Source organism: Homo sapiens, chromosome 16 (assembly GCF_000001405.40).
Source record: "Homo sapiens chromosome 16, GRCh38.p14 Primary Assembly".
Taxonomy (NCBI): Eukaryota; Metazoa; Chordata; class Mammalia; order Primates; family Hominidae; genus Homo; species Homo sapiens.
Genome location: NC_000016.10, coordinates 78,997,849 through 79,013,422, shown reverse-complemented (window position 1 = coordinate 79,013,422; position 15,574 = coordinate 78,997,849). Strand labels below are relative to the sequence as shown.

The 15,574-nt window shown below is 47.2% G+C and overlaps 1 protein-coding gene across 2 annotated transcripts in view; it reads right to left on the bottom strand.

The window, feature by feature from the left end:
* WWOX (WW domain containing oxidoreductase) overlaps positions 1–15,574 on the bottom strand; it is a 1,113,014-nt gene that overhangs the window by 199,245 nt on the left and 898,195 nt on the right. The window lies entirely within an intron of this gene.

The window sequence follows — 15,574 nt, the reverse complement described above, 5'->3', positions numbered from 1 at the left end:
GGGAAGATAAAAGAGTTACCAGAACTGAGCAGAGACAAGATAGGGATCGGGGCAGTTCTCCTGGGGTCAGACACATCCCTGTACTACTCACCACTCCCCAGCACAGCCTGCTGGCAGATCAGAGCGCATGAGGACAGGCGTATGCATTTTATTTTTAAAGGCAAGGCATTCACTCTCGACCCTGTGGGAGGATGCACAGAGGAAGGCCTCTTCCTGCACAGTGAGCTAAAGCCCTGGGGCTGTGCGGTGGGCGGCAAGTGGCAGCTTTCAGACCAGGGCAGGGAGATACCCTCAACAGGGCAATTCTGGAGGACCACCAACTTCCTGCTCACTGGTAGCATTTCCTTTTTTTGTGAAACGGAGTCTTGCTCTGTTGCTCAGGCTGACATGCAGTGGCACGATCTCAGCTCACTGCAACCTCCAATCTCCCAGGTTCTTCCTGACCTCAGGCGATCCACCCGCCTCGGCCTCCCAAAGGGCTGGGAATACAGGCATGAGCCACCACACCCAGCCTGCTGGTGGCATTTTCTTTGTGATGCCTTTCTTCAGCCAGGCTTACAAACAGCAGCCCAGTCTGCCACGGGCCATGTTGGTGGGGCAGGAGTCAAAGGATCTGGAAGAAAACAGAAGGCTGCACCGAATACCTGCTGTGTTTCAGGGGCTGGCTGGCCACCAGGGGAGGAAAAAAGGGCACGTATACGTCCTGCTTTGTGGAACTTCCAGCCCTTTCCATAGACTATTCATTCTGCCTGGATATTTGTTCCCTCATTCATTGGTTAATCACAGCCATCTCTCTGCCTTGGAGCTGCACCACTCATTAGAGTAGCCCTCAGCCATATGTGGATCTTCAAATTGATCACAATGATATCAAATTAAAAATTCATATGTCCGTCTGCGCAGTGGCTCTTGTCTGTAATCCCAGTACTTTAGGAGGCTAAGGTGGGCAAATCACTTTTGAGGTCAGGAGTTCGAGACCAGCCTGGCCAATGTGGTGAAACCCCATCTCTACTAAAAATGCAAAAATTAGCTGGGCGTGGTGGCAGACACCTGTAATCTCAGCTACTCGGGAGGCTGAGGTAGGAGAATTACTTGAATCCAGGAAGTGTAGGTTGCAGTGAGTCGAGATTGCACCACTGCACTCTAGCCTAGGTGACAGAGCGAGGCTCCATCTCAAAAAGAAAAATTAAGATGTCATACTAGTTGCATGCCAAGTGCCACACAGCCAGATGTGGCTTGTGGCTTTTATACTGGACAGGGCAGAGATAGAAGACATCCATCACTGCAGAAAGTTCTATTGGACAGCGCGGGCCGAGAGCACTGCAAAAGCCTCCTACCCAGTGTCCACGCTTCCACTGTTGGCTTTGACACTTTATTCTCAACACAGTAGCCAGAGGGATCCCTGAACTATTCAGAAGTGAGGGACAAAACAATAGAGGAAAAAGATAGTTCTAGATAAGGAAGTTGACAGAGGCCAGGCACAGTGGCTCATGCCTGAAATTCCAGTGACTCAGGAGGCTGAGGCGGGAGGATCACTGGAGGCCATGAGTTCAAGACTAGCCTGAAGAACATAGTGAGACCCCATTTCTAAAACACAAAAGAGTTTTTTGTTTTTTTGTTTTTTAAAAAAGGGGGCCGGGCATGGTGGCTCATGCCTGTAATCCCAGCACTTTGGGAGGCCAAAGCAGGTGAATAGCTTGAGCCCAGGAGTTTGAGACCAGCCTCGGCAACACGGCAAAAACTCATCTCTAAAAAATGCAAAAAAAATAGCTGGCTATGGTGGCACATCACAGTAGTCCCAGTTACTTGGGAGGCTGAAGTGGGAGGATCGACTGAGCCCAGGGAGGCTGAGGCTGTGGTGAGCCATCACCATGTCACTGCACTCCAGCCTGGGGGACAGATTAAGACCCTGTCTCAAAAAATAAATAAATAAATAAATAAATAAATAAATAAATAAATAAATAAAATAAAAAATAAAAAAAGGAAGACTATGGGGGATGAAAACCAAATGCAAGGGAATTCTCAGATTCCAGATCGAACACCAACAGAAGTTCCAAAGGGGGCAGGATTGGAGACATGAAAATTTGAATGTAGAGGGCATATTAGATAATACTACGTAATAGTGTTAATTTTCTTAGTGTGGATGTGAAATGGTTGCATAGAAGAATGTCCTTATTCTCAGAAGATGCCTGCTAAGGAATTTCAGGGTGAGCCGTGATGATGTCTGCAACTTTTCAATGGTTCCAAAAAAGTGTGTGTGTGTGTGTGTGTGTGTGTGTGTGTGTGTGTGGATGTGTGAGTGAGTAGATATGTAACCATACATATCATATGTAAAGATACATGTCACATATATAAAGGTATACTTATCATATATTTATATACAGAAGTAAAGATGGTGAGATGTTAGAAATCATCGTAAGCCAGATCGTGCTACTCCTCTACTCAGAGCCTGCCCAAACCTCCCTATTTCTCTCCAAGTAGAAACCAAAGCCATGGCAGGACCTCCGAGGTCCCACACAACATGACCCCGTCTGCCCTCTCGCTCTCTGTTCCCATCTCCCGCACTCCTCACCACACAGGCCACCAGACTGTCACTGAACCCCCACCCCCGCCCCAGTGTGCTCTGCCCTTAGGGCCATGGTTTCCCCTCTGCTGGCAGCATCGGGTCCATGTCCCTGGAAGGTTCCCATCTCTACCCCTTGGTACCCATGGCCAAACCTCCTCTGCCTGGAAGCCTTCCTTGACCACCCAGAGAAACAATCCACTGTCTTCTCCAACTTCTCCGTCTCCTCCTTCCCTGATTTGTTTCATACCACTCCCTGCCTTCTCATATGTTATTTATCATATATTTATTTCATGAATTGTCTGTTTCTTTGCCACACCTCACAGGGCAGGGGCTTTAATCTGGCTTATTCCCTGGGGGATCCCCAGGGCCTGGAGCTGTCCCGCCATCACCTGTGGATTGGTCAGGGATGCCCTGCCCAGTGGCAGGTCCTCCGTGTTCACTTGATTAGCAAACATAGGTCCTTTGAGTCCTGGGGTTCCAGATCTGTCTCTGAAGCTGCCACTGAGTTAAAGGCCCTGGTCCCATCTGTCGCCTGAGGCACCTTCCCTCAGCACACGCCACTCTCTAATGTGAGTGTCTCCCTCGTCTGCTCCTCTCTGAGTCCCCAGCTCCTCACTCTTGTCTGGCACACAGCAGATGCTCGGTAAGCATTTGTGAAAGCCTCCTGGGGAAGCCAGCCTTGTAAATAAACACTTGTTTCATGGGTGGATTATTTTTAAAAAGCAAGAAGTCTAGGCATGAGTAAGGTGGAGTGGGAACAGAGGGACATGGTGGGTGAGCAGCTGGCCAAGGCCTTTGCAAGCATAGCAGCTTGCTCAATTCTAGGCATACTCAAGACCCATTATTCTTCCTTTCGCTTCTGAAGTCCTAGGATACTGAGGTTCAGAGAAGGTCAATGACTTGCCCAAGGTCACACGTTAATAGACAAATTATCAAATTTCTCTCTCAACTTGATAAGTTCCAAAGCTCAGGTCAGGACTCACTCTCTCCAACCACCTTCCCAGATGAGGTCGAAGCCCCCATGATAGGTACAGTCTTGTGTGTCCCCCTCCTCCTTCCCATGTACCATGGTTGCACCATTCCATTTCTTCCTTTGAAAATTTGATGGGTGCCAGGAGCGGTGGCTCACACCTGTAATCCCAGCACTTTGGGAAGCTGAGGTGGGTGGATCACCTGAGGTCAGGAGTTCAAGACAAGGCTGGCCAACATGGGGAAACCTTGTCTTTACCAAAAATACAAACATTAGTCAGGTGTGGTGGCATGTGCCTATGGGCTGAGGCAGGAGAATCGCTTGAACCCAGGAGGCAGAGGTTACTGTGAGCCGAGATCGCACCACTACACTCCAGCCTAGGTGACACAGCGAAAGTCCATCTAAAAAAAAAAAAGAAAATTTGATGATGGGCCTCTAAAGTCACAGAAGCCCCAGTGTCTCCTTTTGCCCACTCCTCTCTTCCCAACCGTAGCACAGTTCCTTGCCCCCAGTTAGAGCTCCATAAGCATTTGTGAAAAAGAGCCACAGCAGTGCAGAGCAGCAGCCCCAGCCACAAAGATTCCAGAAAGCGCCCCTTCATTCATCTGCAAAGAGCAGGAGAAACTTTAAGGCTATAGTGCCCAAACCGTTTGTAACACTCAAGTGAACTGGCATTCACATCATCTTCCTGCTTTCATTAAACAGTTCCACATCACTCACCTAGTGAATGGGCCTTTTTAGCAGGGAAGATGATCATCCATTAAGCCTGGAAGGGCAGGAGGCCTGCGGACACCTCTGCCCCCTCTGCCAGCTCCGTGGATCCCTCTAAATAATACAAGGCTTGTTTGCAATCAAGTTAGAACATGTTTAATGGTGAATAAATCTGATGCTGAATCGGGATAATTGCACTGGCGTCACAGAGCTGACTCAATACCTGGCCAAGGCATCCCATATTTAGAAGGGTGGAGACATTTTTAGCTCGCCTTTGTGTGTGTGCGCTGCTCATTATACACACGTGGCTCCAATTAAAGGCCCTGCCACCTGATCGGGGCCCCCTGGTCTCCGGCTGCAGGTGCACGTTTGTGGGGCTGGAAGACAAGGCCTGGGACAGGTGCTGTGATCTCCCTTTGTTTGCTGAAACCAACAAACAGCAAGGTCAGCACCTTCAGGTGAAGGCCAGGTGCTGGAGGGAGTGAAGGGAGTAGGGAGAGTGACATCAGTATGACCTGGTGTCGGGAGCATGCCCAAGCTCTGTCCTTCCATGGCCTTTGGCATGGTGCATAATGCTTCTAAGTCTCAGTTTCAACATCTGTGAAATGGGGATTTCACAGACTATGGTAGTCAGGATTCAAGATGGCCCCCAAGACTTCCATTTCCTATAGAATCCCCTCTCTTGAGTGTGGGCGGCAACTGTGAATATGATGGGATAATTTGCCCCCCTGAGTGAGTTAGGCTACCAAGCAAAGGGGGAGGAATTTCGCAGATGTCATGGAGGCCTGAACGCAGTTGGTTTTGCATTAATCAAAAGGGATTCAATCCTAAGTGGGACTGATCTAATCGCTAGGCCCTTAAAAGGGGCTGGGCCCTCACTGAAGAGAGTGACTCAGAGCATGGGGGAGCCTCCTTCAGTCTTGAAGAAGCCAACAGTCATGTTGTGAGGTCATCTGTGGATAGGGCCTGAGAGCCTGAGAATAGCCTCTAGGGGCTGCAAGGGGCCCTCAGTCAACAGCCAGCAAGAAAACAAGCACCTCAGTCCTACAGTTACAAGAAAATGAATTCTGTTAATAACCAAGGGCCTCTGATAAGACCCCATCCCTGGCTGACGCTTTGATTTCAGCCTCATGAGACCCTGAGCAGAAGTCCCAGCCTGAACCAGGACTTTTAACCTATGGAGCTATGAGATAACAAATATACTAAATTTGTGGTAATTTCTTACACAGCAAGAGATAGCTAACACAATGAAAGTAACTACCTCCCAAGGTTGTTATGAGGAATCATTTGCATGCACAGTGCTTTGTAAAGGGCTTGTGACACCATGAGTGACTAATAAAGGGCAGAGGTTATGATGATTACTTTCTCTACCATTATTAGTCAATGATAAATATTAAATAGCTTTGGTATCCGAGAAAGAGCTCTCCATTCACATCCTGGTTTTGCCGCTAAGCAGCTATATGATACCGGGTGAGTCACTTGATGAAATCTACTTCTTCATCTGATAACAGTGCTTTCCTTATAACTCTGCAGTGAGGTTTAAGGAGATAATAATTTTAAAGTGCTTAGCTTCTGCAAATTCCCTTTTGCCATATAAAGTAGCATGCCTATGTAGTGGGGATTCGGTTATGGATATTTTGGGTGCTCTTATCCAGCTTGCCCTACAAGGCCTTCATCATCTTTCTCCCGGATCCTTGCAACAGTTACTAACAATCCCCTGGCCTCATCTTCTCCAATACATCCTTTCGAAGGCAGCCTGAGTGATTTCTCTGAGTGTCTCAGGGCCACTGTGTTTGCCATTCCTTTTGCCTGGAACACCTTTCCAGTTCTTCACATCATGAGCCCTTTCCTCATGTTTTAGAGTTTCTCAGGGGCCCTCCCCTGATTACTCTATTTATGTAAGTCCCTCCCTTTGTTATTCTCCAGCAAAGAACCTTTTTTATTTCACCCACACAACTTACACTTACTGTAAAAACTTGACTTTCTCGTTGACTTCTTCAACGCCCTTCACCCTCACTGGAACATAAGTTTTGGAAGTGCAAGGATCTTGTCTGTGTCATTTGCTATTGTGACCTCTCTGCTTGGCATAGCGCCTGGCCTGTGACAAAGTGCCTGTGGAAGGCTGGATAATGGTCCCCTAGAGATACCCCCATCCCACTCACCAGAACCTGTGAATATGTTAGGTTACGCGACAAAGGGAAATGAAGATTGTGGGTGGAACTGACGTTGCTAATCAGCTGATCTTAAAAGAGGAAGATGATTCTGGGTCATCCAGTGGGTGCAAAACTATCACAAAGGTCCTTAAAGCGGAAGAGGGAATCTGAAGAGAGAGCCAGAAGGATGCCAGCATGAGAAAGACTCAGCCAGGTGCTGTTGGCTTTGAAGATGGAGGAAAGGGACCCTGAGTCCATGAAGATGGGCAACCTCTAAGAAACGGAAGACGCAAGGGTACAAGCTGCCCTCTAGGGCCTCCAGAAAAAGCCCAGCCCCACCTACACCTGGATCTTAGCCGAGTGAGACCTGTGTTGGACTCCTGCCTTATGGGACTGTCAGATAATACATTTAGGTTTTTAAGACGGTACATTTGTAATCATTGGTTACAGCAGCAATTGAAAACAAATACAGTGCCTCACAAATGTCTGTTGGATGGAAAATGGAAGGAAAAAAAAAAAGCGTAACTCAGATCAGGGGCTAAAAGCATTCAAGAAATTTTTGTTATCTACAGCTTAGAAACCGAAACTCTAACCTGGCACCTGATGCCCTTGTTAGGCTAACCCCATGCCCCTCCCCAGCCCTGTCTTCATCCTCTGCCGGTGCCATGCAGACACTCTAACCTGCTGAGGCCCCCGGGTCTCTGCACGGCTGTGTGTCCCTGGACTTCCCGCGCTTCACATCTTCTCCTCCATTCCCAGGACAGGTCTCCTCTTTGTGCAACTCATCAAATGCCACTTATCCTTAAAGACTGGGAAGTCTTTCCTGCCGCAGGCCAAACTTGTCACCCCATCTTCTGCTTTCTGTAGTTCAATCTCAGCGCTCATTGTCTTTGTTGCCAGCCACTGCCACCCTCACCCCACTGGACCAGGGACTTCCCTAGCGCAGTGACCATGCCTTGTTGATATGGGTTCACTCAGCGCTGAGCACCAGGCCTAGCACATAAGAGGTGACCGCAAATGGTTGCAGAGAGGGGACTAAACACCTGCCGCCTGTCCCCAGGAATGGCCAGTGGGTAACCAGAGTATGGATGGGTTTCTCCCAGGGACCAGGGCTGCCTTCTGTTCTCATGCAACTTCACCAAGGTTGAGTTTCTCTCTTGGCCTGAGCTATGTTCTACTGGTCACTCTGGAATCCATATATGGTGGCCTGAAAGGGTCCCTAAAATGCATGTCCACCCAGGGCCTCAGAATGTGACCTTATTTGGAAATAGGGTCTTTGCAGATGGACTTAGGTAAGATGTGATTACAGTGAATTAGGGTGGGCTCTAAATCCAAGGACTGGTGTCCTTATAAGAAGAACATTGAAGACATAGAGAGACATGGACAAGGAAGATGGTGGTGAGAAGACAGAGGCAGAGATGGCAATGAGGTGACAACATGCCCCAAACACCAAAGGTTGCCAGGAAATACCTACAGGCCGGGAAGAGGCAAAGAGGACGCCCCCATAGAGTTTTCAGAGAGAGGATGGCCTTGCCGAAACCTCGACTTGCAAATTTGAGCCTCCAAAACTGTGGGAAAATACAGTTCTGCTGACTGAAGCCACCTAGTACGTGGCACGCCTAAGAAACGAATGTGCTATGCCATCATCCTTGGCTACAGCTACCTCATTTCTGTGACTGTGCTTAGCCTGGGGAGTAAATGATTCTAGGAAACTGTGTGTTGCATCTCCTCCCAGGGGTCATCAAGGAACCTTGGACTTTGGCTGGAGATCGGCTCTTGGGAAACTTAGCTGTAGGTGGGTGGAGATGGCCTTACAAATCCTGAGGTCCACAGGCAAACATCAGGCCTGCATTCAAAGCACAAGGCAAGCAAAAGAGAAAGGCCAGACAGAAAGCCACATGGAGACTCAGTTTCCTCTTTCCTGGGGTACACTGAGGACTGACTGCATCCATGTGCCCAGTACAGGGGCTGATCCAAAAACAAGCACATTTGTGCTTTTTCCTCTTCCTTCCCTCTCCCTTCCCCTTTTTCATTTATTAAACTCAAGTGAAAAGAAAACAACAACTCCTCCTTTCTGAAACACAAGAGGGGAGCTCTAAATGCATAAAGGCCAGAATTAAGCTGTGAAATTAACCCCCCCAAAATTACAAATAATAAAATCTCACATAGGTGCACGGCCCCAGCAAGCTGAGGGAAAACCCAAGTGCCTGCTGTGCCTTTTTATTACTTGAGGTATATGGAGTCTCTAATTTAAGGCTAAATATAAAATAAAGCATACACAGCTGGACTTTCAAGTATTTTCAAAACACATTTAATACCTTCCCGTGAAACGCCCAGAATCTGAGCAGGCATCACTTCGCACCAGTATAAACAGGAGTTGGCGTGGACCGAACGTACGGGCTTCAAAAGCATATTTAAGAGGGTTGAACAGGAACCTGCAAGCCAGAGGCCTGAAGGGATCGCAATGCTGACCTGAGCTCACAGTCACACAGTGTCCTTTGCCACACCAGGGCTATAATAGAAACCAGCAAAGCTGGTTGACACGGCCAACACCAACAGGGTCTGCCTCTGACCGCAGCTTTGCCTGCCCCCCACGTACTTTTCGGCTCTGTTCCTCCACTCCAGGGCCAATGGAAAATGAGAAATATCCAAGTCCTCCTGGCAGCCATGAATGGATTCTCTGTTATCCCAGGAATTCTCTTTGGAGGAAGTAGCATTCACGGGTACTGGCTCGCCATGCGGTACTGCCAAGCGTTTTTATTCATTCCAGAATTCCCCGTGCAGCGCCTTCTATTGCTAGATGTGGTTCTGAAGGTGCACAGGGACTCAACAGGGACTAGATCAAACAAAACCAGTGGTCTTCTCTCTTGGAATTGCCTGATGTGGGTAGACGGATGATAAAGAGATAACAGACAAGTATGCAAACAAGATGATGGTCTACAGTATGCAGACAGTAACACCAGAGACTGGGAAGGCATGGTGTGTTGGCCAAGTGACACTTGCAGTAGACCTGAAGGATGAGAAGTACTCAGCATTGCAGAGTACAGGGAACTTTCTTGGCAAAGGGAAGGGCAAAGAGCAAAGGCCCCAGGACAGTGATAAAATCTGCCCATCAATTCGCTTCTCCTCTCATCGAGAGGTGGAGTCTGTGTCCCTTCCCCTTAATCCCAGTGAGCTCAGGACTATACAGTGGTGACTGCCTTCCCCAAAGATGCAGTGGAAGTGACACCCTCTGCCTTCTGAGACTAAGTCAGAAAAGGCCGTGCCACTTCTGCTGTGTAGCTGAAACAGCTGCCCTACAAGAATCCAATCACCCTGAGACCACGGTGCTGGAGCAGCCACGAGCTGAGACCAGCTGAGCCCTCCCTGCCCTGCTAACCTGACAAAGCCCTGGACATGTGACAAAAGCCATCCTAGACTCTCCAAGGCCAGCTCTCCTGCCAACTGGATTCCACTAAATGACCTCCATCAACAGCCACTGCAAGAGGAGACTCAACCAGCCAAACCCTATCCAGAGTCCTGACCCAGAAAATCATGAGATGTAATAAAACTGTTGTCGTTTTACGCCAGTAAATTGAGGGGTACACCTTGTTACTCAGCAATAGATAAGCGGAAGAGGCCTCACGGTGATAATGGGAGGATGAAATGAAACCATATATGTTCTGTTCCCGGTATACAGCAGGATCTCAGCAAATGTTAGATCACGTCCCCGTTCCTCCCATTCCTTGTGACAATAGACTTTGATTGCCTTTCAGTTTCATTGCCTATTTTTATACTATGCTGCATTAAATCATAAATTACAAGCAGCTTATCCATGTCTGATTCTCACTAAGCACTTAGTTTTATTGGGCTCTCAAAGTTAGAGAATGACAAACATGTAAATTGGAGAGGCTTATCTCTGCTCACTGCAAAAGAGGGTTCTGGAAGGAGGTTTTTCAGGGGGAAGAGTGGGGTCTGAATTGTCTTGCTCCTGAAATGTGCTGTGAGGCCCTGTGGCTGGCATGCATTGGCGAGCTGGGTGCATTCACCAGGAAGTTTTTAAATGATTTTCTGAGCGATATCATTTTTCTTTCCTAAACAGCATAGATTTTTGAGCTCTAATGCATTTCTGCATTACGGAGTACAGGCAGTCTCCCTTGACATGTTTCATCATGGAGTTATTTTCCAAATCAGCATCTCGAAGAGGTAGTATAACTTAGTGATTATGAGCATGGGTTTTGGATCCAGACAGGCCTTGGTGTGAACCCTGTCTTTTCCCCTTATAGACAGGGAGAACCCGGGTGAAAACTAAGTGTCAGTTTTCACCTCTGTGAAATGGGAATAGGCACAGTCCCTCTGTCCCAGTTTGCTTGTGAAGATTAAATCAGATCACACAAGTGAAGCACTTAATAAAGGGCCTCATGCAAAGTCAGAGCTCAAAATAACTGATCTGCTGTAATCATCATCATCACTTTAGTTCTGCTATGGCAAGGGTCATCAGGTTTAGCAAAATAAAAAGGCAGGGGCCGGGTGCGGTGGCTCACACCTGTAATCCCAGCACTTTGGGAGGCCAAGGCAGGTGGATCACCTGAGGTCAGGAGTTCGAGAGCAGCCTGGCAACATGTCAAAACCCTGTCTCTACTAAAAATACAAAAACTAGCCGGGCATGGTGGTGTGCACCTGTTATCCCAGCTACTCAGGAGGCTGAGGCAGGAGAATCACTTGAACTTGGAAGGTGGAGGCTGCAGTGAGCTGAGATCACGCCATTGCACTCCAGCCTGGGCAAGAAGAGTGAAACTCCATCTCAAAAAAAAAAAAAAAAAAAAAAAAAAAGGCAGGACACCCAAGGAAATCTAAATTTCAGATAACAAATAATGTGTTAGGAGTACAGCACGTCGATACACTTGCATTAAAACTCATTCATCGTCCAGCTGAGATTCAGGTTTCACTGCCTGCCCTGTTTTCATCCCCAGATTATTATTAGTGTAATTTACCATTACAATAAATTCCAGTTGCCCAGATTTGTGGTTACCCCAGACCCCTAATCACACCCTCTGTCCTCTGCCCCTGATTTTCTTCTATTTAATAAAAGCTTACATCTTTTTTTCTTCCCTCCAGTCTCACTATGGACTGCTGGTAATTAAGATAAGCCAAGAGGTTGCTCTAGAAAGACAAGCTCTGTAACTTTTTCTAAAGCGACACCACTGCAGTTATTACATAAGCACCTCTCTAAAGCAGTCATGAGGTTCACTGCAGAGAGGCTTTCATTTGTACTTTCTCCAACTTCCCACTGCACAAACGCCCCCTTCCTCCACATTTCCCCCTCTCTCCCCTCCCTTCATGCCTGAGGTCTAGCTCAATTTGAAATCTCTCCCCCTGCCACCAGCTCCTTTTTTTTTTCCCACATAATATAGAGTAGTTTATTACATAAGTGATTTATTGCATGCACCTTAATGTATAAGGGGCAAAACTTGTTTAAAATAAATCCAACTGAGAGGATAATCTCTATGGGCAAAATGTACTTCGACTTAATTTCTCTACTGGGTATTACACACTATATAATTGCCTTAAACAGAAGCTGCACGCACAAATTTAGCTTGGCACCAATATCTGGCTTCACAGAACACTCGAGTTACATGCTGGGTTTTGCTACAAATCCTTCGCTCCACCAGAAGAAACTCAACAGCATCCCTTAAAGAAATATGCATCCTGACTCTCCTGCTGAGAATAGGGGGAGGGAGAGCAGCTGATTGTGTGCTGGATTTAGGGGGGCGGGGAGGCCTTTGTCTTGGGAGAGGAGGCAAAGCTGCCAGCCTGTCTCTAACCGGCCTCCGTTCCTCGAGACTGCATCTTCTAGGCCCTTTATTCAAAAGTGCATTCAGCAGCAAATTAAATCGCAGCTCCCTGACTGGCACCTGGATGTGGGATATGTGTTTAATTAAAGTTCATAGTACCTTGCCCTTCTTTCTCCTGCAGATTAATTAATTAATGTATTTATTGACTCCTTCCTGCATTCACTCACTCTGCAAATACTCGCTGAGCTCTTCTTGGACCCCAGGCGGTGGTAGGCCCTAGGAATCTCATAGTTGAACCACACACTATTCCTGCCCACGTCCAGTGGGGCAGATGAGTATTAATTAAATCATCACACAAATAAGTGCAACATGACAAACCATGGCAATGCCATGGAAGAGAGGTCCAGGGTCCTCTGAGAGTCAATGGGGAAGGCTGGAGAACTTCCCAAGAAAGGGGCTTTTAGAGGGTATATTATAGGGTGCCTTAGCTTCCTCTGGCTGCTGTAACAAATTACCCCCAAATTAGTGGCTTAAAACAAATTTATTTTCTGAAGGTCAGAAGGCCACAATGGGTATCACTGTGCTAAAATCAAAGGTCAGCAGGGCTTCGTGCCTTTCTGGAAGTTCTGGGAGAGAATCTCTTTCCTTGCCTCTTCTGGCTTCTAGACGCTGCCTGAATTCCTTGGCTCCTGGACGCTTCCTCCCTCTTTAAAGCTGGTAACATCAGGCCAAGTCCTCTTTACTCAGCCACCTCTCTGATTATGACCCATCTGCCTCTCTTTTCCCCATCTCTGATTCGACTGGGCCTACCCAGATAATCCAGGATGATCTTTCAATCTGAAGATGAGTGAATAGCAACCTTAACTCCATCTGCAACCTTAATTCCCCATCTGCCATGTAACCTCCCATATTTATAGGTTCCATGGAATTAGGAGTAGGGCCTGGACATCTTCGGGGCTCATTACTCTGTCTACCAGAGATGGGATCTAAAGGAAGGAGGAGAATTTGCCAGGCAAAGCTGGAACCTTCTGAGATGAGCTGCCAATGACGTGCCGTGTGAACGCAGCTTCGGAGCCCAGTGAAGGGGTGCAGGGAGATGGTGTTAAATGTGTCTGGACAAAGGAGCAGCAGTCAAATGGTGGGAAGCCTGCTCAGACACATGAAGGATCCTGGTTTTTATCCCAGGAGCCTGAAGAGACCCTTTCGCTATTTCAGCTGGGGAAGAAGATACTGCGTTTTACTAAATCTAAGATCATAGATGCCATTATTTTTCATTTCCCCTAAGGAAAAAAAAATGCTCCCGGTGAAAATATGGCACAATGCTTTCTCATGACGTAGAATTTTCATTTTATAATCATTACAGTAACTCTTTTTAATTTTTTATAAAGTTTTATGTATTTCAAGGGTACAAGTGCCAATTTCTTACACGCATATATGGCGTAGTGGTGAAGTCTGCACTTTTAGTGTATCCATCATCTGAATAGTGAACATGGCACCTAACAGGCAATTTTCCAACCCTCATCCCCCTCCCACTTTCACAAGAACTCTCTTAGACTTAAGTAGGCCTCCATTTTTATCACCAATCACTCTGGTGCATACAATAAATACTATAAAATGTAAGTGAAAAAATAATTAAAGTATTCCTAAAATTTCTTCACATGAAGGGTCTCTCTCCCCTGAATAACATTTTGACTCTGAATCGCTGATGTCTAGATTTCCTCCATGCAGATCATTTTCTGTACCATCAAGAGCATAAGTGATGCAGCTATTCCTTCTTTCTTGAGAAGGAGTTTCGCTCCTGCTGCCCAGGCTGGAGTGCAATGGTGCAATCTCGGCTCACCGCAACTTCCGCCTTCTGGGTTGAAGCGATTCTCCTGCCTCAGCCTCTCGAGTAGCTGGGATTACAGGCATGTGCCACTACGCCTGGCTAATTTTGTATTTTTAGTAGAGACGGGGTTTCTCCATGTTGGTCAGGCTGGTCTCGAACTCCCGACCTCAGATGATCCGCCTGCATTGGCCTCCCAAAGTGCTGGGATTACAGGTATGACCCGCTGCCCCTGGCTGATGCAGCCATCCTTAGAAGAATCCATTAAAAAAAAAAAAAAAGAAGAAGCATCAGCCACTGGCGCTGGGTTCTTGAGCTGGCTCTGCAGTTGTGTTGCGCAAACCTACTTTTGATTTCCACGTCCGGAATATTTCTAGCTCTGCCTGTCTCTCCACTTCACAGCCATTTGGTTCCTAGAAGGTGGAATATTCCGCTGTTACATCTGGGACTTTCCTGGAATCTGTCAACACCCATCCTGCAAGTTTGGTTGCTGGCATTTGGGACATTTATACATGCATAGGCAATAACAAAGTCGGACACCGCCCCTGCCAGGCATAAGGGAACTTTGAGATGTGTTCAGATTTCAGAGACCCTGACATGAAAGAATTTAGAGATGCACCTGAAGGTCAAGGATCAGACTGGCACTTTCAAGAAGTCATTCAATAGAAGCAACGCTTGTTTCCACCTTTCAATGTATAAGTTAAAAACATCAGTTAATAACGATAATGAAAGAGTCCTTCATGCATGCTGAGCACTGTGCTAGCCGCTTACCTACACACATCAAAGTCATCTAATTTTTACTATTACACCTATTGTATATACTAAGAAATTGAGTCTTAACTACATCGATTAACTCCTCTAACAGCTCCCAGATCATAGGTGGTAGAGCCAAGATTTGAACACAGAATGACTTCAGGTGTGGCCAATCCCCTCTGTTTCTATTTCTCTTAGTCCCTCAGTGAAAAAATCTTTAAAACTGACTGTCTTCCAAGTTCCTTCTACAAACACATGTGGAGCATCTTCTGTGAAGGCAGTAGGCTCTGCTCTGGGCCCGAGTACAAAGCGTGAAAACCCACAGACCCTTCACTCAAGAAGCTCAGAGCCCAGTGGAGAAGGGAGAAGAGCAGCCAACACCTTAGATCAGAGAGAATGAACTGATGTGCAGTCCAACATGTCCTGGGTCCCAGCAGAAGAGAAAAACGTCCCCATTTTACTCATGGTGCAGTTTTCTTAAAGAATGTTGGAGGCTAGGCCGGGCGCGATGGCTCATGCCTGTAATCCCAGCACTTTGGGAGGCCGAGGCGGGCGGGATCACCTGAGGTCAGGAGTTCAAGACCACCCTGAACAACAGGGAGAAACCCTGTCTTTACTAAAAACACAAAATTAGCTAGGTATGGTGGCGCATGCCTGTAATCCCAGCTACTCGGGAGGCTGAGGCAGGAGAATCGCTTGAACCCAGGAGGCAGAGATTGCTGTGAGCTGAGATCGCGCCATTGTACTCCAGCCTAGGCAATAAGGGTGAAACTCTGTCTAAAAAAAAAAGAAAGAATGTTGGAAGCTAAACATTAGGCTGCAAAA